Here is a 24,777-nt window from a genome sequence, read left to right on the forward strand (position 1 = left end):
ACTCACAGGCCTCCTTAGAGACAGAGACCATGCATCTGTCCCTCATCTGGAAAGAATGTCTGCTTTATGTTTGTTAAGTCTGGGTGGCAAGCAGGTAGATATTCATTTTATGATTCTCAATGCTTTTTCTTATGTTTGAAATGTCAACTTTAAAAAAAGATGATCCACAGTAAACATGAGTTGAGTAGATGAACTAGGGCTGGCTGCAGTGCCTTCTGCCCCAGTGTGTGTTTGAGAATCTCACGTATCCAGCTGAACTCACCCTTCAGAAACTTTCCTCCCACCTGGGGCTGGAACCCAACACCACCTGGCCAGTTATCCAGAGCAGTTAGTTCAAACCCTCCGGTGAGCACCTGCAACTTGCCTAGCATGGCAGCACCACAAAGATGAGTTTTTATTCATACTATGATATCATTTCTTCTCCGCTTGTCCTTTCTCACTTGAGAAGTTCCTAGCAGTTCACACTAGCACACTAATCTCAGTGCCAATAAAATAGCCCAGATGATTAAATATTACAGGCAATTCTGTTGCTAATTGCTGAAGCTGAGTAATGGGTATATGGGAAATCACTATACTATTCTCTCTACTCCTGTGTGTGAATTTTCCATAAGTTTTAAAAAAATTCATTCATTTATTCATGCAACTAGCATGCATCATGGATAAAGAGAGAAATCAGAATCATCTCCCCAAGAATTTGTAATTTTATTAAATTCTAAATTGCTTGCTACCTTATGCCACCCCAGGAATTAAATATCTATTGGCATTTGTAACATAAAGGTTATGCTGACCCATCAAAGGATGAACAGCAAATAAGGGGCTCCAGCACTGCCTCTCCTGGACTGTGGGGAGAAAAGAGCCTTTCCAACCCTGCCTATTCCACCTACACTTGAAGGCCCCCATGCACAGGGGCGTCATCAAAAGGCAGCAAGCAGCTGCAGGAAGCCAACAGCATCCCTCCAACTTAAAGGCAACTTTCCCTCAAAAAACAGGAGTCAAGTACCCTCCATTCTACCTGAGCCACCCCCACCTCCACTGCTCAACACAGCACGGGGACTTCAGTCTCCACGACCAGAGAGGGGCCACTTCCCTGGTGCACAGGAATGTACGGGTCAGGAGAGAAGTGTATGGGGCCCGGGAGGGTGGAGACTCAGCTCCATCTCTCATGAGGGGCCTCCCTTCTCCAGTCAGGGCTGACAGCTGGTGCTTGCTACCAGAAGGAATGAGCTAGCAGAGAGGAAGCAACTAGGACAGGGGTTAGCAGTGTGGACTCTGGCCAGGCAGCCCTGAAATCAAAGCCCAACTGCCCCACTAAAAGCTGTGAGTTGGGAGAAAATATTTAATCTCTCTAAGCCTCAGTTCCTTCTGTAAAGTGGGACTAAAAATGTCACAGTACCTTTTCCTCATAGGGCGGCTATGATGATTCCTTGGTATAATGCACGTAATGGACTTAGCACAGTGCTGGACATGCGGTAATAAGTGCTGGCTGTTAACACCAAGATCACCGCCGCCACCAGGCTGCCTCTCTCCTGCAGGCTCATCTCTCCATTCCCTCCTCAACTGCAAACGCAAGAGCCAGTCCCAGGAACATCAGAGTGTAAGGGCCCGCATGTGGATCACTACCTCCAACTTGGCAGGGTGCAGCTGCCTGCATGTGTGAAATTCATCTGAAATTGACCACCCACACACTAGCCAGAACCCCAGCAGCTTCATCTGCCTTCAGAATACAGAGGCCCGCCCCATGTGCATCTATCTGCAGGTGTTCTGGAGCCCACCTGCAAGGATAACTTCAGAAGATGGCTTACGTGTACCCAGAATAAAGAATCCTTACCAAATCTAGCCCCACAAGGAATGAACTCATGGCAGACTGTCCTTGGACAAATCAGATCACCACTATGGACCTCATCCCTTTATCTGAGGGAGAAGAGGGGTAGGTGACAGTGCAGGTCCCTTCTGGCTTGGGCATTCTATTGATTTCTTCAAACTGCTGCAAAGGAGAGAAGGGCCAGAGCTGGGCTCTGCAAATAAACAAGTGAAAGACAAGGCCACCTATTGACACCAGTCCCTTGGGCAGATTCCAGGCTGAAAGCCTTGCTCCCTGGCTCCAGCCAGTGTTTCAGACCCACTGAGCCCACAGGCAAGCAGCCTCCTCACACCAGGCCTGTGGGTCAGCCAAGTCTACACAAAGGACCAATTATGATCAGTCCACCTTGCAATTCTCCTGAGCCACCTCCAGCATCCCCACCCCCAGACACACCTGGAGCACCCAGACTAGAAGGCAGAGCTAAGTTACCCTTCACCAACACCAAACAAGGGAGAGTGCCTCCCTGATTCTCCCCTCCCCAGGCACCTGGCCTCCCACTCAGGACCACACCCTAAGCAGGTATTTCCAGAGCCAGAGTGAATGCAGAGCCCAGGACACACAAGAGCACTGGCTTCTGGGTCTGTCTATAAAGGAAGCACATTCACCTGGCCCCACTTGCATCCTCCCTAGAGGGTGAGAACAAACTCCTCAAAGCTGAAGACACAGAGGGCTCCTAAAGAAGCTGTGTTCGCCGAATAGTTAACTTCAGGGCCAGGCTACAAAGCCCAGGAGTCAACTGCAAGGTCACCTTTAGAAGTGCCTGACTCGGATGAGTATGGTGGTTCATGCCTGTAATCCCAGCACTTTGGGAGGCCGAGGCAGGAGATCGTTTAAGCCCAGGAGTTTGAGACCAGCCTGGGTAACACAGCAAGACCCTGTCCCTACAAAAAAAATAAAATTATCTGGGCATGACGACACACTCCTGTGGGCCCACCTACTTGGGAAACTGAGGTGGGAGACTCAATTGAGCCCAGGAGGTAGAAGCTGCAGTAAGCTGAGATCATGCCACTGCACTCCAGCCTGGGTGACAGAGCGAGACCCTGTCTCAAAAAATAAAAAAGTAACTAATTTTGTTTTTAAAAAAAGAAGTGCTTAACTCTGCTGAGTGTCCAAGAGGGCAGAAACACAGAATGTTGGCATCACCGCAGACCCCAGAGATCATCTGCATGTGATAATCCAAGTACAGCCTTTAGAACAGAGCCCCACCACCATCCTACCATCCAATTTCTCGGTTTATAGGTGGTTTCAGGTGTGACTTATCCAGCATCACAAAGTGGCCACAGGCAGCACTAGGACAAGACCTCGGGTCTCCTGAGGCCCCGGTACCTAACACACAACCATTCTTCCTGTTCCTGGGGGACAAGATAGGTTTCTGCCAAACAACTCTCTGGCCTAATAAATCAAAGAAGACAGTCTTTTCACACCTATCCCCACTCCCAAATGCCACTCCCAAAGTCCCAACAGAAAGGGAGCAGGAGGCAGGTGAAAGCTTTGCTGAGGCCCCACAGTTATCTAGATCCACACCCCTCGGGATACTGTGGCTAAAGACAGTGGGCTGCTGACGTCCAACACTCCAGAGAGAACCCTCAGCAGAGGGACTGGAAGGAGAAGGAAAACCAAGACCCAGGTTTTACTTCCTTTAAGGTCCACAAACCCACACAAAAGGACCAGAAATTCCCTGTGATTTTCTGAAGCAGGGCTCAGCCAAATGCAATAACCCCACCCTCCAGAGAGGAAGGGGCAGGATGAAGAGGGACATGTCAGTATGGCCAGCACCTTGGAATCTGATGGGCTGTTAGCCAAAGAAAAAACGCAGCTAGGCTGGCTGGTAGGGAGCTGGGAGGTCTGTGCCAGTTCCAACCAGCCTACCATTGGACGCACCAGCTCAGAGAGGGGCGCTGAGCAGCATGGCAGGGGCTGAGGTCATCCTAGGCTATGACCCCATCCCAATGACAAGGCCAGCTTCCCTGGCCCCTGTCCTCCTTCTGATTCCAGGACACACCTCTTAGTCCTGAGGAGCCAACTGGGCCTCTGCCCTGGTCCCAGCAATCAACCTCATCTCTGGGGTGGTCCTTGGTGACTCAGACTACCACCACCCAGGCCCTCAGCATCTGTCAGTTGTCTCCTGCAGGACTACAGCTGCCACACTCCTGTCCAAAGGCCCTCACCACCACTGTTCATCAACACTGGATACTCGGTGAATACCTAGTATGTGCAAGCTTGATTCGTGCTTACCTGCTCTTTGGGGTGCTGGGATGAGCTCATCAGGGAGCTCCTGAAAGTCCATTACTAGGGGGACCCCAGGAGACTCCACAAATCCACCTTTGATCATCCAAGGAGCCTCAGATCAGTTACAGATCAGTGACATCCCCTGAGAATCCTCTAAATGTCTTTAGAGAGGAGTTTCACAACAGTGCCCCAAGAAAGTGTAATGAAGGCAGGCAGGCTGCCACATATCTGTCCTTTCTGACTCTCCTAGCCCAGGTACTAACTGGGCAAGGCAATGGCCGAGTGGCTGAGAGCCAGAAGATAAGAAGGCAAGAGGAGGGAAATCAGACAGGGACAAAGGCCACTCAACTGGGACCCCACTTGTTGTCCTTGAAGCCTAGGAATGGTCCTGGCGGAGTGGGGCTCATCGTGGCTCCCCACATCTGGCCTCTTCCAAAACTCTACATGCAGCCCAAGCCTCATATCCAGAGCAGTCTCTTGTCTTGCAGAGCACAGCCAGCTTCCAAATGGCACAAGAGGCTGCTGAGCCATAAAATATAAACTCATTTAGAAGCATTCCCAAATTCACGCACCTTTTCGTCATGACACATTTGCTTTATCAAGAAGTAATAAAAGCACAACTACTACCCTGGGAGGTGAAAAAAATGGCAACGTGGCATAGGTCCCTAGGAACCTGAATCTCAAGCCCAGGAAAAGAGGGCAGCAGGCAAGGGACCAGGGACCCATAGGTACGGACACCAGATGCCACACACACGTGTGGGTGGAAAGAGAGTAAGATACTGAGACTGACGTCTCCTGCCCTCCCTCATCAAACATCAGCAAGTCTTTGAACACTGGCGGGGTGCAGGGTGGCAGGTGTAACATACGAACGCCACCGCAGAGGCAGGAAGCCGGGTTCAGTCCCACCTGCCACCTACAAGTTGCTGTGTGACCTGGGCAAGTGCTTTGGAACTCAGCAGTCTCAGCCACAAAACAGGGATGGCAGAGCTCCCACAGGTCTACCTTTACAGCTCCAGGGCAAAGGAGATGTGGGAGCAAAAGGAGCAATGAACAGAGTGATGCATTGGGTATGACCCCATCTACACAAAGTTTTAAAACAGGCACAAAGATACAGACAGCTATATAGGCAAGAAATGTATAGGAACAAAAACACCAAACTTGGAACAGCGGTTAACTCCGGTGAGGGAAGGTTACGGGATCAGGGAGAACACTGCGGTCGCAACTCTACAAGGTACTCTTTCCTGAAAATAAAAATCTGAAGCCAACATGGTCTTTGTGAACTGGCTTCAAGGTCAGAAAATCTAGAAATACTTGCTGTAACCACCTGAACCTTTCAGGTCTTTCCAAATACCCTCAAATGGCCTTTACCTCCTACTAAGCCATCCATATGGGTATTGTGAGGATTACATTAATAGCTGCAAAGCACTTAGACATGTGCCTGGCCCAAAGCACAGTACCAGGGCTGGCTGCTGCTGGGGGCAGGGCAGCGGGACGCAGGGATGCTCAGCTCCATATTCCCAGAACAGTCCCAGGGCCAGCAATGTGGGCCTATGCTGAGCTTGCTTCCGAACCAGTGGCTTCTGGGGAAAAGGCATCAGGTACAGGCCCCCCAGCCAGGCACCTTTGGGTGCTACTGTGGCCTCCTTGCCCATGCCAAGCAGACTCAGTGAGGGGGTGGCACACGGGCCCACTATATAACTGAGACCCCAATGTGGCATTCCTTAAAGAAACTATACACAATGAACCTCTAAATATAAGAAAAGAGAGAAAGAGGAAAAAGAAGAAGAGAAAAAGAAAGCTACAAAGCAAAACTTCATTTGGAGCTAAAGTTGGGAAAATATGCAGATTTCTAATAAGAGGCCTCAGGACTTCATGCATGCAAAAACACCTCCATGCAGCCCCAGCCACCAGTATCCGAGATGAAGGACAGGAAACCAGGGGTCTGGCCCCATTTCCCTGCCTCCAGGAAAACACAATTCATAAGCCACCTCCTGCATCTCCCAGCTCCCAGGGCCAAGTCTGGAAAAGCACTTTGGGTTCCTGGAAAGAAAGGCCCTTACAAAATATCGGGAACTCGACTGGAAAGCGCCATTATCTATTATCTGGAGGATGTCTGCGGAGTTTAAAAGGGAGCCACTCCTCTGCCAAGGTCAAGGAGGTGGCCAAAAACAACAGAGGGGCTTCTTGGAGCCAGAGAGACACATGCAGCCAAACGCTGACAGACAGGCACCCCTGCTCACAGACCCGACAGACACAAGTGTTAAGACAGAGGACCTCGGTGGAGGCTGCCCTCTTTTTCCTGGACCAAGACCCCATATTGGGGGTGTCGAGACTTGACTCAGAAGAATTAAAAGCTCCACTTCTCTATCCCCAAACTACAGGCTGTTATGCGTTGGACATCTCCACATCAGACATAAGGAGAAAAGATAGAGTCTGATTTTAAGAACCCCTCCCACCCACATGCAAGGCTTGGTGCCTCTTCCAGCCTGGAAAGCCAAGTTCCATTAGGGGACCGGCCTGAAGGAGCCCACCCACCTTGAAGTTGCCTCCCCTCCCGTCATTTCACCTACAGATGATTTGAAAATAGAGCTCAGATGCTGTCTCACTCCCATCAATTATAATCAGCTTTGCAGATGGCTTTTAAAAAATAAATCTTCAGGCCCATAAAAATGCTCCCCTACAAGCCCTGGCCTGGCCTCAAATCACAGGCCTTGTGACCATGCTTTCAACAGCCCCACGATCACCCACCACCAAGAAACAGGAAAAACAAGGTAACAGAGAGGAGGCTCCCTTCCCCCAGCCGACTGCTCTTTGGCCTGGAGCTGAACATTTGGGGCCTCTGATTTAGGCCTGGAAGGTTCAAAGCTGGGGGTCAGGAAATGGCACTGCCCCCCACTTGGTGCTGATCTCTGACCTGGCACAAAAACTCCCCAGCCCTGTAACACCAAAAGCCAACCTAAGTCCCCCACTCCCTCATCAACTTTCTAAATCGTCTCAAGGCTTAAACAAGAACCTCAAACGTTACGGGTTTCACGTGCACAGGCTTTTAAAATCAAAATAAACCTGAGCCTCGGCTGCCTGGTTCAAAGCCTGTTTGGTTCCCGTGGTGACCACAAAGGAAGAGACTCTCTAAACAAAGGGAAGGACAGACAGAACAGGTGAAACTGAAGGAACCAAAACAAGAGAGAAGGGGAGGGTGCTGCTGAATCTTAAAGCAGGGGAAGCTAGCTCCCAAAAGCTGGGGTCAGCACCAGAAGAGGCCACCAGGAACGTGGGACTGGGGAGGCCTCCAGGTTCAGGGGATTTGAGTCTATTCCTGACAGTTACTGCTTCAACTGAAAAACACAGAGAAATACAACTTGCATCCTTCACTACCTTTAAAACCAAGAAAAGTACCTTCACTGAGGCCTATGTCCATCCCCTTAAACCTCACAGACCCTCCCGTCAAAGACCTGGATTGAAAACCAACTCTACTTCCAGGCTACGGAAAGCCTGGTAAAGTCGCTTAACCTTTCTGAGCCTTACTTTCCCTGCATGTAAAATGGGGATAAGACCTCACAAGTTTGCTCACCATGATTACTGAAGAGAAAGCCACACATGGAAGCACAAATGTTAAAAATGCGCCACAATGAGTTGTTCTCTTATTTCAATTCCATATAAGCCTTGCCTCCCAATTCAAACATAAACTCCTTAATAGCAAAGAGTGTGTCTGTACTTCTGGTTAAAAGCCGAGTTCTGAGGTCAATCTGCCTAATCTTGGTCAAGTTTCTTAACCTCTCTGGGCTTCCATTTCCCTGTCTGTACCAAGAAAACTAACAGTCCCTTCCCCAAAGAGTTGTTTGACATGTGGAGGTACTCCAAACCATTCAGCATTTAATCAGTGTGAACTATTCGTCTTTGTACTTACTTGGAAAACCAAGACATAGTTAATAAGTACTGGTTGGTTGGTTGGTTGGATGGTTGATATAAAACAGGTAACACACCTTTCCAGCCTTCCCTCTCTCATCTTCTGTTCCCTTCCCAGGAGGTGGACAGTGTTTACATTTACCTCCGAGTACCTTGGGCTTGTGAAATGCTTTGAAGCAAAATGAATGGCTCCCTTTAAGAGTCAAGGGTGCCAGCACCTTCATTTCCAGGCCTCTCTCGCTGTGCGGCTGTGAACATGTTGTTCTCTATCTCTAAACTCAGGATCTTCATCTATGAAGTGTCATCATCCCACATATCTTACAAGGCTGTTGTCAACGTTAAATGAAGCCACTGACAAACGCATCTGACATACACTCCATGTGCAAGAAGGGTTTCCCTAGGTCCCCCAGCCCTGACCTGTGGGTGGCAGGCCTAGGGAAGACCCCACTCCCTCTTAATGGAGAACAGATCCCCACCCCAGAAGTAGCCTGCTGTAGCCAAGGACCAAGGAGGCAGTTTCCAGGGGAACAGCCTCCTCTGCAATGTACGCCCGATTTCCATCTTTGGCTGCCTTTTATTCTCCTCCCGCTTCTGTAGTGGGCTAGGTCACCTTTCCCCACGATTGCTAGGCAACCTCCAAGAGTGGTACAGCTGCCTCCTTTGGGGGGCACCCTGGCCCTGCCCTCCCCTTCCCCTGCCTACAACCCTAAGGAAAGCTGCCTCACTTGGACTCCCACCCTGCCAACCCTGGGGAGAGCACACGGAGAGAAGCAATCCCAGGCCAAGAGGGTTTATAGACAGAGGTTAGGGAGAAATTTTCCCCAAGGACTGAGACTTGGAAAATGAAGGCCACCCTCTCCCCAACCCACCCAGTCTTCTGTTTGCCTGTGCATATCTATGATCTATTCCTGGTCAGTTTCCAAGGAAAGAGCCACATCCTTCATCCCGCTTTCTACAAAAGCTCCCGCCCTTATCTTCCTCTTCTAAACTCCTCTCACTCATCATAAACCTGGACCCCAGCTCTAAAAAGTGGGCATGACAGAGAAGGGGACACACAAACAGGGGAAGAGGGACAAGGATGGCAGAAGCCATCAGAAATCCTGTGAATGCTTGTTTACCTCTGGGAGGTGGGATGACAGGCAATTGTCATTTTCTTCTTTATATTAGTTAATAATTTCTTAGGTTTTTAAAAATTGAGATAAAATTCCATGCCATAAAGTCACCATTTTAAAATGTACAATCTAGTGGTTTCACGTATATTTGTGAGGTTGTGAAACCACCACTACTATCCAATTCCAGAACATTTCCATCACCGGGGTTTTGTTTGTATATGTTTGTCTTGGGTTAAATGTTCTACCCACGCAAGCATTTGTTGTATAAGCGGCAGAGCAAAGTTGAGAAGGAGTGCAAATGCTGGAGCCCGACTGCCTGGCTTCAGATCCCAGCTCCACCATTTGCTGGCTGCGTGGGCCTGGAGGAGTTCCGCAGCTGCTCCGAGCCAGCTCTCTCATCTGCAAAATGGGATAACAGGAGGACCCATCTCACAGGGTTAGATGTGCTCATGCATGTAGAGTCCTTAGGACAATTGCTGATAATTACCATGTGCTCAAAAAGGGCGAGCCACTATAATTATTATGAGAAAAGGAATCTTGTTAACTTTATGGCAGAATGGTGCATGCGGAAGGGGCCAGTTGGGGTCATGAACGTTGCCACACACAGCTTTGGGGCCTGCCCATCACTAGACCAGACTCACCATGCCCAGATAACCAGACTTGCCCGCCAGATAACCCCCTGGTACGACATGAAAGGAGGGAAAGCAGGAGAGGCAGAGAAGGGGGAGCCTGGGCAACCCTCTCCATGCGTTTCCCCCCATCTGCTGAGAAGAGAAGGATTCCTGGGAGCCTGGACTTGATGCCCAGCCTGGGGATAGGTGGGAAACTGATAGGGTTTGGCTGTGTCCCCACCCAAACGTCATCTTGAATTGTAGTTCCCATAATCCCCACATGTCGTGGGAGGGACCCGGTGGGAGGTAATTGAATCATGGGGGTGGTTACCCACATGCTGTTCTCGTGAGAGTGAGTTCTCACAAGATACAATGGTTTTATATGGGGCTTTTCCCCACCTTCGCTCTGCACTTCTCCATCCTGCAGCCATGTGAAGAAGGACATGTTTGCTTCCCCTTCCGCCATGATTTTAAGTTTCCTGAGGCCTCCATGCTGAACTGTGAGTCAATTAAACTTCTTTGCTTCATAAATTACCCAGTCTTGGGTATGTCTTTATTAGAAGCATGAGAATGGACAAATACAGAAACCTTGGTCATGCATGAAGAGGGAGGAAGAAGGGGTTCCAGGGTGGCTCTGAGCCCTAGTTTGCTGTGTCTCCTGTCCCTACTACTCCTAAGGCTCCTTGTCTCAGTCAGAGCCAGGTTTGGCCAAACAGTACTTAGGAGGCCACTGGCACCGGCACTGTGGGAGATGGAGCCAGAACCCCGGGCTAAATTGAATCCTGAGTCCTGTGGGGGCTGACCCATCTGCCAGAACTAAGGAAGCAGGCTCAGCGGGTTTCCTCTGTGCCTGGCCTCTCTGCCATGACCTCTCTGGGGAGGTGCAGACTAGAACCGCCCAAACCATCTCAGCTGGTGGGTTCCAGGACCCCACCACTGTCCATGGCGAGTAACTCAGCCCAACCCACAGGCCCCTCTAGCAGAGACATGGGCCTACCAACATCTCTCTATGCACTCTAAAGAGGGCATAAAAGCAGGGCCAGTGGGGAAGGTACCCTTTGGCTCCATACCAAGTCCAGGAAAACCACAGGTGGGTTACACATGGAGGCAGCTCAGGTGGGGTTAACTGGCTGGGATGATCCCAACAATATCTGTAGAGAGGTGTGGACTTGAGAATCTGGTCTGTGACCTGTCCAGATGGCCTGGCCGTCTCTCGCAGAAAGGTGAGAGGTCAGCTCTGGGAGGGGCAAAACAAATGGAAAAGAACAATGAAGCTAGGCATAGTGGCTCATGCCTGTAATCCCAGCACTTTGGGAGGCTGGGGCAGGAGGATCACTTGAGGCCAAGAGCCTGGGCAACATAGCAAAACCCCCATCTCTATAAAACATAAATTTAAAAATTTTAAACTATAATAGAAGAATGATAAGGGAGAATGGGAGGGGGTGCTCCCCAGCATGGATAGTCACTGTTGCTCTGCTCTGCCCTTTCAGGCATCTCCCCTCTCCCCACCTCTGTCCTACAACATCACACACACACACACACACACACGTGGCTGAAATGCCAGGGAAAGGTAAGGCTCCCAGCAGAACCGCCTTCCTTTGAGATGCACCTCCAATTCCACCAGCTCCTGCCAATGGCCATTATTGGCAGAGCCTGTTGCAACTCTGCATCTTTCTGGTTCCCTCTCTACCTAAACCTTCATTTCCACACTCTACACAGCAAGCAGAGCATCTGATACCTAACAGGGGTTTAATGAACATCTACTGATTGCCTTCATGAGAAGGAACTGTCTACATTCTCACCCTGTTAAGGGCTGGGCTCTTTCCTAGAGACCCGACATAGCACATCTGTGACTAGGCCACATCTCAGGCTCCAGCTGCCCCACCCTGGCTCCAGGCCCCCAGGTCTTGTGTGACAAGTCTTTGAGCCAGACTGATGGTTTATGGCCCCCAGCCAGGTGCCCAGCCCCATGCCTTCCTCGAGAAGATGAAAAGGGGTGTCCAAGTCCGACACAGCCTGCAGATTTTCCTCTCTCTGTAGTCCTCCACCTTGACTGGTGGCCTTGGCTATAGCTCCTGCAATGGCCTTGCTGTCCAGAAGGAAGTGCAAACAATGTGTCCCCTCTTCCTGTGACCTAGCCTCACCTGTCTGCAGAATCGGGATGTGGGCCTTATTCACAACCACCTCTATGCACTTGCCAACGCTGCCTCTCTGTTTCAACATCCATTCGCTCAACAAGTATTGATTAAGTTCCTACATGTAAAAGGCCACAGGCTGGCACCTGTGGAAACACACATTAAACCATAATCTCTAGGACTTCAGAAGGAAGAGAGAAAATAAAATTTAACAGCAGAAGCTGCCATTTTACATATCTGCTCGCATCAAGCCAGCAAGGTAGGTATTAGCTCTTTTTTATAAGTAGGGAATTGGAGACTCAGAGAGGAACTTGCCCAAGGTCACAAGCCTGAAAATAATAGAGCCAGGATCCTACACCAAGCTGATGCTCTCTCCAGCTTGACCTACCTCCAGCTTGACTGGGTACACACATACACCTAAGAATGTGAGCGAAATTACATAAGGGAGAAAACTGGGGGCTGCAGTCACCCTGAAAATAACAGCAACTCCTAGGAAAAGTGACTTCAGAGCCCAGCCTCAAAGATCAGGAAGGTTATGAAACCTGGAAAAGTAGAGGAAATGCCTCTAATCCACGTGCTCTGTCTGGAAGATAACTGCATTTTGTGTCTGGAGGCATGGCGACCAGCCCATGAACTCCGTACCGAAGCATTCTTTGAAAGAGGGACAAGCCTCGGCCAAGCCAGTGCAGCTTCTTGAGTCATGCCTCCTGCCTGCACAGACTTCTCCCTGCCTCCACATCAGGCCATACTTTCACCAAGGAAGCACTTCTCAATGCATCATTTAACCTGATTCCCCAGAAGAGTCCTGAGGGCTCCACGGGCAGAAATGTGTCCCATTTACAGAGGAGGAAACCTAATGGAAATGCCACAAGAACGGGAACTTGGTCTGTCTTGCTCAGTGCCCCATCCCTAATACCTGGAACTGTGTCTGACCCAGAATGAGTGCTCACAAAGTATTTGCTGAATGACCTAATAAAAGCTCGATGAAATGGAAAGACTTGCCCAAAGTCTCAGAAATAGCTATGGCTGCACCAAAGCTAAAAAGAGGGTCTTCTGCCTTCTACCGGGTGACCTTTGTATCCCTCTACACTGTGTCCTCCTCTTCCCCTCCTCACACTCACTCCCCTGCCTCCCTCTGGAACCATCAGCCTCTGTCCACTTGTGGACTCTGGTCCCACACAAACCCCGCCTCCCAGTCAGTAGAAAGAGTGTCAAAAGCAACACGTTTACCTTACGTCTTATCCCTCACCTGTAATACCACCTCCTTAATATCACCCTACTGAGAACTAGGCAGGCCAGAAATTCTGCAGACTGAGGCCCACGAAAGATAATCTAGAGAATTAACAGGAAACAAACAAACAAAAAATGTGGATCTGAATCTTCAGAGTCAGGCCCAGAGCTCCTTCTGCCATGGCCCCTCCATCAACCCCGCCCAAAGCACGTGTCGGCTCTCCTGGTTCCCAGATGCTCTGGCTCTGGCTGCGAGGCCCAGCTTTCCTGCCTCCCTTGCCAAGGAGGGACAAGTGAGGGGAAGCTGCCAGTCCCAAACATGGCTGCATCCCAGCCCCACCAAACACAGTCTGGACTTGGAGCTGGTTACTTCCCCTCTCTGGCCCTGGTTTCCTAGTCCTTGTTCGTGCCTGGCACATATCAGCAAATGCCAGTTCTTGGCACTGTTGAGTTTGCCTCCAGGATAACCCAGTTTCCCAGACCACCTCTTCCTACCTGGCTGCCCAAAGGCCTGGGGCACACCCACTGCCACCCAGGTCAGAGCCCTGGGAATCTATATTCTTCTCCCCACTGCGTTTAATATATTCATTCATTCAGAAATATTAAATACGATGTTCAGGCCGGTGCTCAGTGTCTGTCCCCTAGGAACTTGGTCTCACAGTCCTTTCAGGGGCCTAGTTCCTAGGCAGCTCTGTTACTCCTGCCCCTCCCAGGCACAAAGCAGGTGCTCCCTAAGCAGGGATTTCTCCTTCGATTCTAACCCCCAGGGAAGACCCCAATCCACCACCCTAATCTCACTTCTAATTTAAAATCCATTCTCAAGAAGGCTTCACCCTGAAATTATTAAAGAGCCTTCTGCCTGGTGCCCCATAGGGATCTCCAAATTACTCACTCACTTTTCAGTTCCACCCACAGCACCCATGGTCCCAGGAAATAAGCCAAGTGAGTGGGGGACTGTCTGCAGCCCCCAGTCTTCAGCTCTTACTAGGAAGATGACAGGAAGAGGGGGAGTTTAAGCAACTGGCACATTACAAAGAAGTCAGTTCGAAGTCAGGGGACCTTCCCATGTCCGATGTAGATGACCGATGTCGCTGTATAGGGCCCAGCCCTGCATAGGCCTTGGGCACCGCGGCCCAGGTCATCCTGCTTTGAGGAAGCCCATTGTGTGTGTTTTAGATTACCTCTGCCTGTCTGATGAAGTGAGTAAAAGGGCTCCGTTTCAGGGCCTAGGATTCCTGAGTGAGCTAATACAGGATGCCTTTGGCTGAAAAAAAAAACTTCAGTCGGCTCTATAAACTACCCCCCTTTTAAGTTTAAAAAAGGGAATGAATGTTACCATTTTTGGACATGAGCGTTCTCCCTCAAGCCCAGCCCTAACCGCACTATCCAAAGGGACGCGCCATCCTGTCCCCCCCCCACCCAAAACCCCATTCCCAGATCAGCCTGGGGGTGGGGAGGGTATGAAACGGGGAGGGACCGGATGGAAGTGGGCAGCCGGGAGGAGGGGGAGGGAAAGGGGTATTCAGGGTACGTGGCCGCCTGGGGGCACAGGCTCACCGCGCAGGCAGGAAGCAGCGGTAGGGTTGAGGCGCCCTCCCCCCACCACCACGAGTGGTTTCTGACCTCTTCCTGCCACTGGCCACTGTGCCCGGGTCCCATCGCCAGCTCCGAGCCCAGCTCCCGTGGCGGGGCGCGCACCCGGCACACCGCGCCTGCCTGGGATGCAGCTCCGTGGCTAAGTAGGGATCCCCAGTGACTGGCCCCAAATATCCCCTAAGACTGACCCTCGTTCTGCAGCCCCTCAACTCGAACCGAGCTGCCCACCTTTCCCGGGGGTCGGAGGGGCAGGACGTAGCGCAAGCCCATGTCGGGGTTACAGCTTCCAACCCACTGAGTTAAGCAATAAAACGGTCTGCTGTCCTGACCCCGCCCCCACAGGGCCCGCGGGGGAGCCCGCGTACGCCCCCCAGTTTTCTCGTCCCCAGCCGCACTCCAGCTGGTCCTTCTCCAGGCAGATCCGGAGGCGGCCGCCGATCTCTCCGGCGCTCTCCCCTCCGCCTAAGGGGCAGCAGGGTCCCGGGAGGCCCGCCGCTCAGGTTGAACCCAGGGCGGCCCAGGAAGCGGCGCTGCCACCGCACGCCATATGGAGAGGTGGCCAGGGGCGGAAGAAAAGGGAAAATCGATCCGGAGCAAGCAGCCCCGAGCCGGGGTCTCAGCCCCAGCCTGAAGACCACCGCCCCCGAGCACAGCCCACGCGGGGATGGTTGCAACAGCCGCAGGGTGGCCTGGACCACGGACCCCCAAGGAGACCTGCCCGCCAGCGGCGCCACCTCCCCGCGCTCCGGCCCGGCGTTCCCGGGCTCCGGGGCAGGGGCGCTCCCGCTTCCGCCAGGCGCCTGTAACCCAACACCCCACCTCGCAACGGCCGCACCGCCCCCGCCCCCTCCCGTGCGCGCCCGGAACCGGTTCAGAGCCCGGAGCCGAGAGCCCGGCAGGCAGAGCGGGTCGGGGCTGGGGGCTGGGGGCTGGGGGCTGCAGCGGGCGGGGGCGGCTGCTAACCTTTCTCTGCTGCTTCTCCCAGGCCGGGTCCAGGAGCAGGTCCCGGTCCCAGTCCTCTTCTGGCTGCATGTAATCGTTGGTTTGCTGAGAATCATAATGGTCCATGATGGTGCGCGCGTGCTAGGGTCTGGATTTCTTCCTCCACCTTCTCTCTGAGCAACGGCTGCTGCCCTGGCGTGGGGAGGGAGTAGGGCTGGGCTGGGCTGGGCTGGCGGGGCCGGGCTCGCTCCCCTGCGCCCGGTTCCGCCGCGGCGCTGCTGGCGAAGGCTGCTACTGGCGGCGACAGCGGCGGCTGGGCTCGCGGACTGCCTGCCTCTGGGCGGGCGCTTGGACCTAATCTCCACGCACACTGAACTAGGCGGACACACTAGCGCTGCGGGAGCCGAGGCGGGCGGGGGCGGGGGGAAGGGGCAGAGCCCTCCCGAGGCTCTCCATTGGCCAGGCCGAGTTGCCCAAACTTCCCCCCATCGCCTCTCATTGGGAATTCCTGGCATCCGTCAGCCGGGCTGCGGCGCATATAGGTGGACTGGGCGGCCCCCTCCCGGCGCGCACACCCCCGCCCACTCCCGCGGTGCCCGTTCCCCCGCGGCTCATGTGACGCCAGCTTAAGCTGAACGGGACCGAAGCCGGGAGACGCCTCCCCGAGCTCGGGGACTGAGTGGCAGCGCGCTTGGGAACCCCAGGAGCCGCCGGGATTGGACCCGTTCCCCGCCACCGTTATTGCGCTCCCACGCGCGCTCCAAACCCCGGGGTGGGAGGGGGCTGGAGAAAGGACGCGAGGAAACCCGAAGAACATTCATTTTCTCTTTCCCAGGGAACCTGGGTCTGGGCAGGTCGGCACCCTAGGAAAGGGGGCGGAGTGGGGCAATGGAAAGGAATTTCTTGGGAATTTCACGACTCCACCGCCGCCCCCCCCGGCCCCGCCCCACCCCACCCCACCCTACAAGGCGCGACCCGGCTGATCCCTGCCCTGCAGGAACCCGGTTTCTCGCCAGCGAACTGCTCTCAGAGGCTACCGAGCGTTCCCGCCTCGCCGCAGGAACTCTTCTAGCTCGCCCTCGGGCTCTGGGGACCGCTCCACAGCGGGGCCTCCCGGAATTCCCTGCCGGTCTCCGCGGGCACACTTGGCTGGCTGCTGCGACCAAAACTACCTTCGCGTGGCAGGGTCCTCCCTCCTCCTCACAGACACCCCGACATCACCCTCAAAACTGGAAGGGACAACCCCGAGTGATCTAGGTAAATCTACTCCGTACCCCCCTCCCACATACACACGCCTGACAGATGGGGAAACTGAGGCTCAAAGAGCCGAGCGCGGAAAGAGCTTCTGGACTTCACAGGCCAATCCGGTAACCTTATGCCTGACAAACAAAACCTTATTGTCATTGGAGGAGGATGGAGGGCGGGAGTGACTAAATAGCTCTAACTTCTGCTTGCCACCTGCCAGGACTCCTTTCCCTGGGCTTAGTAAGAGGAGAGTCTAAACGCGCTAATGCCCGGGAAGGAGCAGGCCTCGCGTTCTGGCAGGCTCCTCTATGGGATCCCGGTTCCGAAGAACAGTAGCAAATAAACCTCTCCTAGGTTATGCACTGTCTTGTGAACAACAGATGTGCCAGTCTTCCACCCCAGCACCCAGCACATAGTAGAGCTTAATTTATGGATTTGAGGCTGGCCACGGTGGCGGTGGCTCACACCTGTAATCCCAGCACTTTGAGAGGCTGAGGCGGGCAGATCGCTTGAGCCCAGGAGTTGGAGACCAGCCTGGCCAACGTGGCAAAACCCCGTCCTTACTAAAAATACAAAAATCAGCCGGGCATGGTGGTACACGCCTGTAGTCCCAGCTACTTGGGAAGCTGAGGCGGGAGACTCCCTTGAGCCTGGGAGGTCGAGGTTGCAGTGAGGTGCATTTTCACCATTGCACTCCGGCCTGGGTGACAAAACAAGACTGTCTCAAAATATATACATACATATATGCATTTGGCCCTTTATATCCACAGGCTTCAGAACCCGCAGATACCCAGGCTGACTGTGAGGGACTTGAGCATCCTCAGATTTTGGTATCCATGGGGATGCTGAAACCAATACCCTGCCAATACTAAGGGAGGACTGTATTTGTAGGATGAATGGCTGCATCAACTGCAAAAATTTAAATTTAAATTTAAATTTAAAATGCAAATATGTCAATTCAGAAGTGAGTGAAGGAGTTAGAAGAAGAAGTTCACTGACAGGAAGGGCCCTGAATTATGGGCTGGATTTTGTCCTCTACCTTCTCTCCAGGCGATGGTGGATACCTGAAAGCCACCCATGGAAAAGGTGAAGAAAGTGCCCCCTGGTTCTCAGAAGAGCCACTGCTGCTGTTGTGAGCAGATATCGGATGGTGTCTCTGGCTGCATCATTCGTCAACCACACATATTCATATGAGTGTTACCCTCCAGCACTGTGCCTTCCAAAAGCCCCTGGCTGAGGAAGCACTGCTTCTGAGCCACAGAGACAGCTGATTTATGGACCATTTTATCACCGCTTCTAAACTGTGGCTCTAAACCTAACACAGAGGGTAATGGTAGTGCTGTATCCATTCATTCACCCAATAAATATTTGCTGAGCACCATCTGCATATCAGGGAATGTACTAGATGTATACAGAGATGAAAAAGCCATAGTCCCTGTCGCACACAGCCCAGCAGACAGACACAGAAACAAAAATATGATGTCATGAGTTAGACGCAAGGAGAGAGATCTGACAAGTGTACTGTTGGAACAGATGAGGGGCACTGAACCCCGTGGGAAAGGAGGCTCCAGGCTTAACTTTTTGGAGGAGGTGAAACTTAAGTGAACGTTAAAGAATGAGAGTCAGCCAGATAAAGAGTGTGGGAAGTTACTCCAGAAGGAAGGACCAGCACAAGCTAATGCACAAGGACAGGAAACTGCATGGTATACAAAGGAATGTCTAGCATCTCAACGTGGCTGGACTAGAAATCCAAGGCCGGGAGGGGCAAGAGACGGGGCTAGAGAGGTGCAAAGCAGCCAGACCATGAAGGCCTCATGTGCCAGGTGGAGTGTGGATCTAAGGGGAGCAAGGCTGGCTGGAAGCTTTGACACCAGTTGCAAAGCTGTTGCAATAATCCAGGTCGAAATGGAAAAGTGTGGATAGACCAGAAATACTTAGGGGATAAAACTGAAAGACCTAGGAGTCTGGAGAAAAGATAAGTGTTTTTGTTGAGAGATCCCATGCACTTTACCTATATTAAGTTCCTCCTATGAGGTGTTTCTCTGTCTTACAGAGAAAACAAACTGAGGCTCAGAGAGGTAGTAACTAGTCCAAAATGGCACCAGTACATGTGACTCCCAGACCTGTGCCTTTAACCCCAGTGGTTCTCAACTCTAGGATATTTTAACAGCTCCCCCTCACAAGGGATATTTGTTGATGTCTGGAGTCATTTTGGGTTATCACAGCTGGTGGGTTCCTACTGGCATCCAGTGGATGCAGGTTGGGAATGCTGCTAAACGTTCTACAATGGATAGGACAGCATCCCCACAACAAAGAATTATCCAGGCCAGGCATGATGGCTCATGCCTGTAATCCCAACACTTTGGGAAGCTGAGGCAGGTGGATCGCTTGAGGTCAGGGGTTCGAGACCAGCCTGGGCAAGGTGGCGAAAACCCGTCTTTACCAAAAATACAAAAATTAGCTGGCCATGGTGGTGTGAATCTGTATTCTCAGCTACTTGGGGGGCTGAGGCAGGAGGATTGCTTGAGCCCAGGAGGTCAGGGCTGCAGTGAGCCATGATTGCACCATTGCATTCCAGCCTGGGTGACAGAGCAACACTCTGTCCAGAAAAAAAAAAAAGAAAGAAAGAAAGAATTAACCAGCCAAATATGAAAGAAAGAAAGAATTAACCAGCCCAAAATATCAAGAGTGCTGAGGTTGAGCAATCCTGCTTTAATCATGAGTTTATAGTTTAGATGATCTGGGGAATGGTGGCACTATGACCAATTAAGATAGAACAGAAAAGGAAAATATTTAGGAACAGAATCATGGATTGAGTTTGAACACATTGAATTTGGAGTGCTCTTAGAATGTCCAGATTCCATAGACCAGCAGGCAGTTTGACTGCATAGCCCTGACCTCAGGCAAAACAGAGTTGAGAGTCATCTGCATATGGATGATATTAACACCAGGAGACCACCCATGAAGAATGCCCAGGTGGACATGAGAAGAGGGCAGAACCCTGGAGAACAACACTTAGAAAGGGACAGCAAAGAACAAGAACCCCTGAAGGAGACAAAGAAAATGGTCATCCAGGAACGAGGAGGGCCTGGAGTATATGACGTTGAGGAGGTCAAAGGAGTAAGGTTTCAAAGTAAGAGGAATTGGCAATATCAGATATATTCAAAAAGTCTGGAAAATAAGGCCTAAACAGTGTTCTTGGATATGACAGTTGAAAATTCACTGGTGACCTTGGCCAATGGAATTTTGGCAGAGTGGCAAAAGCTGTAAGTTTAAAGAGACATTAGGAGTGAATAAATGGAGACTGAATATAGAGGGGAAAAAGAAGTAGCTAAAGGGGCAATAGCTAGACGCAAGTACTGAGATCAAAGGAAGATTTCTTTTAAAACTGGAAAATGTGAGCTGTTTGAAAAGAAGAATTCAGTTAAGAGGAAAAAGTTGAAAATGTAAGCTAAAGAAAGTTAAGGGAGCCAGGTGGAGTGGCTCACGCCTGTAATCCCAGAACTTTGGACGGCCAAGGCAGGTGGATCGCTTGAACTCAGGAGTTCGAAACCAGCCTGGGTGACATGGTAAAAACCTATCTCTACCAAAAATACTAAAAATTAGCCGGGCGTGGTGGAGTGCACCTGTGGTCCCAGCTACTTGGAAGACTGAGGTGGGAAGATTGCTAGAGCCTGGGAAGTCTAGGCTGCAATGAGCCACGATTGGGCCACTGCACTCCAGCCTGGGTGACAGAGCCAGACACTGTCTAGAAAAAAAAAAGGAAAGTTGAGGGATAGCACAAAGTTCTTGAGGAGATAGGACCATATGGGTTCAAGGACACAGGCTAAGGGATGGGCCATTGAACAAGAAGAAAGACCCTCATCTGGCTGGGTGAGGTGGCTCATGCCTGTAATCCCAGCATTTTGGACGGCCAAGGCAAGCGGATCACTTGAGCCCAGGAGTTCAAAACCAGCCTGGCCAACATGGTGAAACCCCATCTCTACTAAAAATACAAAAATTAGCCAGATATGGTGGTTTACACCTGTTGTCTCAGCTACTTGGGAGGTTGAGGTGGCAGATCGCTTGAGCCCAGGAGGCAGAGGTTGCAGTGAGCTGAGATCGTACCACTGCACCCCAGCCTGGGTGACAGAGCGAGACTCGGTCTCAAAAAAAAAAGAAAAGAAAAAAAAAAAAAGAAAAGAAAGACCCTCATCTGAGCCTGAGGAAAGAAAAGGGGGAGTTATGATGCGTGAGGATGCCCACAGTGTGTGGGAAGACGGTAAGGAAGTAAGTTGAAACAATAACTGATGAACTTATCTTCTCAATAAGGGAGGTCCTGAGATGGACCAAGGTAACAGACTGACCCATCTTCTCACTCATGGCCACCACCCTGTGAAATGATACTGGGGACTTTAGTCTCAGTATAAGACAACCTTTACTAAATACAAAAAATTAGCCAAGCATGGTGGCGCATGCCTGTAATCCCAGCTACTCGGGAGGCTGAAGCAGGAAAATCACTTGAACCCAGGAGGTGGAGGTTGTGGTGAGCTGAGATCACACCATTGCACTCCAGCCTGGGCAACAAGAGTGAAACTCCATCTCAAAAAAAAAAAAAAAAAGAACTGGATTGACACATGAGGTGACATAAAGAAGGGAGAGTGCCAGCCCCATGCCTGGCATGCAGCAGGCCACCTCAATGCTCATGAATTTCTTTTCCACCCTGCTATGGGTGACTGACCATGTGAGGCCCTGTGGGGAGACATAGACACGTAGGATCTGCAAGATTCTGGAAACTAAAAGCACTATGGACCTCCCACCTAGATATCTGGCCATTGCCTTCCTTGTATCCTGAGTTCTTCTCTAACCTTACAGCCTAATGGTGATAGGCTCCTATGAGCTCTTCCTAAGAGCCCAGGGCATGGTAGTCATTAGAGTGTTTGTAGAATGCTAGAAGGAGGTAGGAAATAAATCACTATAGTTTTTTGGGTTTTGGGCTTGGGAAATCAGAAACCTCAGTTTTGTCCCCAGTCCCAGTAGCAATATAGTTAATAGACTCCTCTTCCCCAAACGCCCATAGCATACCATTTGTAACTAAGAGAGTATACTTTGCTTTATTTTAGTCCTTTGTCCATTTTTTCTCTCACACTGCCTTTATGAAGCCTCAACCCTGTTCTTTCCCCCACTCAGTGTAACACAGGGCCTAGGACACAATAAGTGTTCCAGTTCAATATTCATGAAATGAAAAATGGCATTAGCCAAATTCCATCTCACTGCCTGTTTCTCCATCAATCCATGGGAGGCTTGGGGAGGCCAGTCCTTTGCCATGGTCCACACAAGCATTTCCCAAATTCTTGGGCCTCCTGAGAAGCTCATGAAGCCCATGGTGGTGAAATTGAGTTGGCTGTCCCTACTCCGATGCCCCAGCCAGCAGCACTCAGCCATCACCCACCAGGATGAATTCCTCCACACCAGCTTCTGCTTCACTGGAACAGTTTGCCCTAGGGTCAATTCCTCTCTCTCCCACCAGAGACCAGTGAGGCAGGGCAGGAGACACTCAGCAGTTTCCCTCGTGCGGGATCTCTAATAAGAGGCTGGCAGAAAAGTTCCTGTGCTTCCCATCCTCTGCCCAGCTCTAGGGTCTCAGGTGAGAGAATATCTGGCCTGTCTGGTTCACTCTTTTTTTTTTTTTTTTTTTTGATAGAGTTTCACTCTTGTTGCCCATGCTGGAGTGCAATGGCATGATCTCAGCTCACTGCAACCTCTGCCTCAAGCAATTCTCCTGTCTCAGCCTCCCAAATAGCTGGGATTACAGGCATGTGCCACCACACCAGCTAATTTCTTTCTTTTTTTTTTTTTAAGTAGAGATGGGGTTTCACCATATTGGTCAGGCTGGTCTCGAACTCCTGACTTCAGGTGATACACCCTCCTCGGCCTCCCAAAGTGCTGGGATTACAAGCACACACCACCGCGCCAGGCCAGGTACACTCTTTTCCCTAGTGATCAGGCATATTTATCTCCCCCAGATACCCAGGGTAAACCAACCTGGACCATCAGAAATCTCTACCTTAGATGGCTACCTTGAGGTCAGCTCTGGGAGCAGAGCTAGTCAGGCTTGAGAGCTGCCCAGCCTGGGCCCTCCAAGGAGGGCTGGGAGCTCTTCCCCATCTGTCTCTTGTTCCCAGCAAAAATCAGAGCAACACACCCAAATCACAGCTGAGAATGTGAAGACCTAAATAAACGGAAAGCTGATTTATTATGTTCACAGATTGGAAGAATCAGTAACCCCCAATTTGATGCCTAACCCTCCACCTCCCCCACAACACAGCATTGGCCTTACCAATTACAGCAGCCACTAGCTGAAAAGCCACTCTGTCCAGATCATTTCCATGGAAATGATGGGATAGCTTTCAGGGGCAGATATCCTTATGTGAGAAGCAGGACAAGGCAAGGAGACCTGAGCTCGCTGGGCTTCAGTTTACTTATCTGCAAAATGACAGGGCTGGATTCACCAGACAGTCTTTAAGCTCCTGGTAATAAAGTTCTGAGCACTGTTCTAAGAATGTCTTTCTGCAACTCCTCCTTTTTATCTCCAGTGAGAGGATGATTTGAATCTTCTGAAACAATGTTTCTCTATCTTGAATACTAAGCAAGTTCCTTTTGAAAGGATACAAATCCTCACAAAGTTACTTAATTTTTATTTTAATGTTCCTTAAATGTGTATGAACATAAAACTAGGCACAACACTTCTTAACATTTGGGGTTTACAATCAACTACAAAATGAAAACAAGCTTACAAATTCTATTTAAAAGAAACTATAAAACCAGTAAGATTCAAATTAGCCACACTAATTTAAATGTAACTGTTGCTATTTGCTGAAACAAAATTGCTACTCCCAGCATGATTTAATTCTGACTGTGATCAAGCAGGTGGTTCTTTCTGCGTTGGGGATGCCTATATCACCACGTGCCAGGCAATGACTCAATTCTCCTACCACTTTCTCTATTTGAACTACTGCATCAGGGCATCATTTAACCTTCACTTGATTGGAACACACTGTAATGAATCAAGTTCCCTCTGCTGTTTTCTCATTAGCACTGAACAATTAAAGTTAAAAAAAAATTTTTTTTTGATCTTTGTACCAACAGGATCCTTTGCTCAAATTTCAATGTCCTTATCTATAACACAGAGAGAATCACCTCCATCCCACCTACCTCACAGGATGGCTGTGCACATTCATTCATTCAGTCAACTATTTTTTATTGAGTATCTACTATGTGCCAGACACTGTTTTGCCACAGATGATGTAGCAGTGACCAGAATGGATACAAGTCCCTACCTCATGGAACTTACATTTCAACTGGGAGAGCCTGGTAAGAAAATAAAGAAGTAAAATAATATGATAGTGTTAAGCTCTAAGGAAAGAATGTATATATAAAGCAGAGAAGGGGAATTGAGAATTTGGGGAGAGGTAGAGGGAGGTTACATATTTTAAATGGGGTGTTCAGGGAAGGTTTGTTGAGTAGGTAACATTGAAGACCTAAAGGGGTGAGAAAACATGAGCATTCCAGGAGCAGCCAAGAGGTCACAGTAGCTAGCAAGAAATAATGCACATGAGACACACACTGAAAAGTACAATGCAAATGTGGGTCTAATAGATAACTGCTGTTTTGCTGCCCAGCAACCATTTCCCCCTCCTGGCAACCATACCTTGATATTCCTCTGGGAGGGCACTTCCCCTGCTCCAATCCCTGGGCTTCAGGGAGAGTTGACCCCACCCCTAGTCAACAGGGCTGGGCAAATGACAGGCCTAGCCAATCAGAGCACACGATTGGCTTAGGGCATGGGACCCAGTCTGAATGAAGGACACACAATGAAACTTTTTTTTTTCCTTTGAGGCAGGGTCTCTGTCTTGTCTTTGAGGGTCTGT

The 24,777-nt window shown here is 50.6% G+C and overlaps 1 protein-coding gene and 2 long non-coding RNA genes across 24 annotated transcripts in view, besides 6 other annotated features; 1 reads left to right on the forward strand and 2 right to left on the reverse strand.

Annotated features, from left to right (window-relative positions):
• ACTN1 (actinin alpha 1) overlaps positions 1 to 15,994 on the reverse strand; it is a 105,175-nt gene extending 89,181 nt beyond the window's left edge. For 15 of the 22 annotated variants that reach the window (NM_001424029.1, NM_001424027.1, NM_001424025.1 and 12 more), the window contains exon 1: positions 15,644 to 15,994. In NM_001424029.1, the coding sequence (NP_001410958.1) occupies positions 15,644 to 15,748 (105 nt within the window). In that variant the 5' untranslated portion in view covers positions 15,749 to 15,994. Of the gene's footprint in view, positions 1 to 14,069; positions 14,259 to 14,641; positions 14,962 to 15,643 lie in introns of those variants that run through there. The other 7 variants (NM_001424022.1, NM_001424020.1, NM_001424018.1 and 4 more) reach the window with 5 other exon arrangements.
• LOC124903336 (uncharacterized) lies at positions 156 to 4,871 on the reverse strand. The gene is made up of 2 exons (XR_007064228.1): positions 4,823 to 4,871; positions 156 to 4,755 (listed from the first exon to the last, which is right to left on the reverse strand). It is a non-coding gene; the product is annotated as an uncharacterized LOC124903336 (long non-coding RNA).
• Positions 4,463 to 5,301: an enhancer, noted in NCBI's record as "H3K27ac-H3K4me1 hESC enhancer chr14:69434488-69435326 (GRCh37/hg19 assembly coordinates)". NCBI's record gives its function as "activates a minimal SCP1, AML or CMV promoter by ChIP-STARR-seq in primed H9 embryonic stem cells {active_cell/tissue: H9 hESC(primed)}" and the evidence as "EXISTENCE:reporter gene assay evidence [ECO:0000049][PMID:30033119]".
• Positions 9,088 to 10,043: an enhancer, noted in NCBI's record as "H3K4me1 hESC enhancer chr14:69439113-69440068 (GRCh37/hg19 assembly coordinates)". NCBI's record gives its function as "activates a minimal SCP1, AML or CMV promoter by ChIP-STARR-seq in naive H9 embryonic stem cells {active_cell/tissue: H9 hESC(naive)}" and the evidence as "EXISTENCE:reporter gene assay evidence [ECO:0000049][PMID:30033119]".
• Positions 10,061 to 10,561: an enhancer, noted in NCBI's record as "H3K4me1 hESC enhancer chr14:69440086-69440586 (GRCh37/hg19 assembly coordinates)". NCBI's record gives its function as "activates a minimal SCP1, AML or CMV promoter by ChIP-STARR-seq in naive H9 embryonic stem cells {active_cell/tissue: H9 hESC(naive)}" and the evidence as "EXISTENCE:reporter gene assay evidence [ECO:0000049][PMID:30033119]".
• Positions 14,862 to 15,861: an enhancer, noted in NCBI's record as "NANOG-H3K27ac-H3K4me1 hESC enhancer chr14:69444887-69445886 (GRCh37/hg19 assembly coordinates)". NCBI's record gives its function as "activates a minimal SCP1, AML or CMV promoter by ChIP-STARR-seq in primed H9 embryonic stem cells {active_cell/tissue: H9 hESC(primed)}" and the evidence as "EXISTENCE:reporter gene assay evidence [ECO:0000049][PMID:30033119]".
• Positions 15,862 to 16,860: an enhancer, noted in NCBI's record as "H3K27ac hESC enhancer chr14:69445887-69446885 (GRCh37/hg19 assembly coordinates)". NCBI's record gives its function as "activates a minimal SCP1, AML or CMV promoter by ChIP-STARR-seq in naive and primed H9 embryonic stem cells {active_cell/tissue: H9 hESC(naive and primed)}" and the evidence as "EXISTENCE:reporter gene assay evidence [ECO:0000049][PMID:30033119]".
• Positions 16,002 to 16,051: a silencer, noted in NCBI's record as "silent region_5875". NCBI's record gives its function as "represses an Ori minimal core promoter by ATAC-STARR-seq in GM12878 lymphoblastoid cells {active_cell/tissue: GM12878}" and the evidence as "EXISTENCE:reporter gene assay evidence [ECO:0000049][PMID:35858748]".
• On the forward strand, positions 16,374 to 24,155 carry ACTN1-DT (ACTN1 divergent transcript). The gene is made up of 4 exons (NR_073422.1): positions 16,374 to 16,476; positions 16,620 to 16,879; positions 22,377 to 22,493; positions 24,037 to 24,155. It is a non-coding gene; the product is annotated as an ACTN1 divergent transcript (long non-coding RNA).
• The last annotated feature ends 622 nt before the right edge of the window (positions 24,156 to 24,777 follow it).

This window comes from Homo sapiens, chromosome 14 (assembly GCF_000001405.40).
Source record: "Homo sapiens chromosome 14, GRCh38.p14 Primary Assembly".
Taxonomy (NCBI): Eukaryota; Metazoa; Chordata; class Mammalia; order Primates; family Hominidae; genus Homo; species Homo sapiens.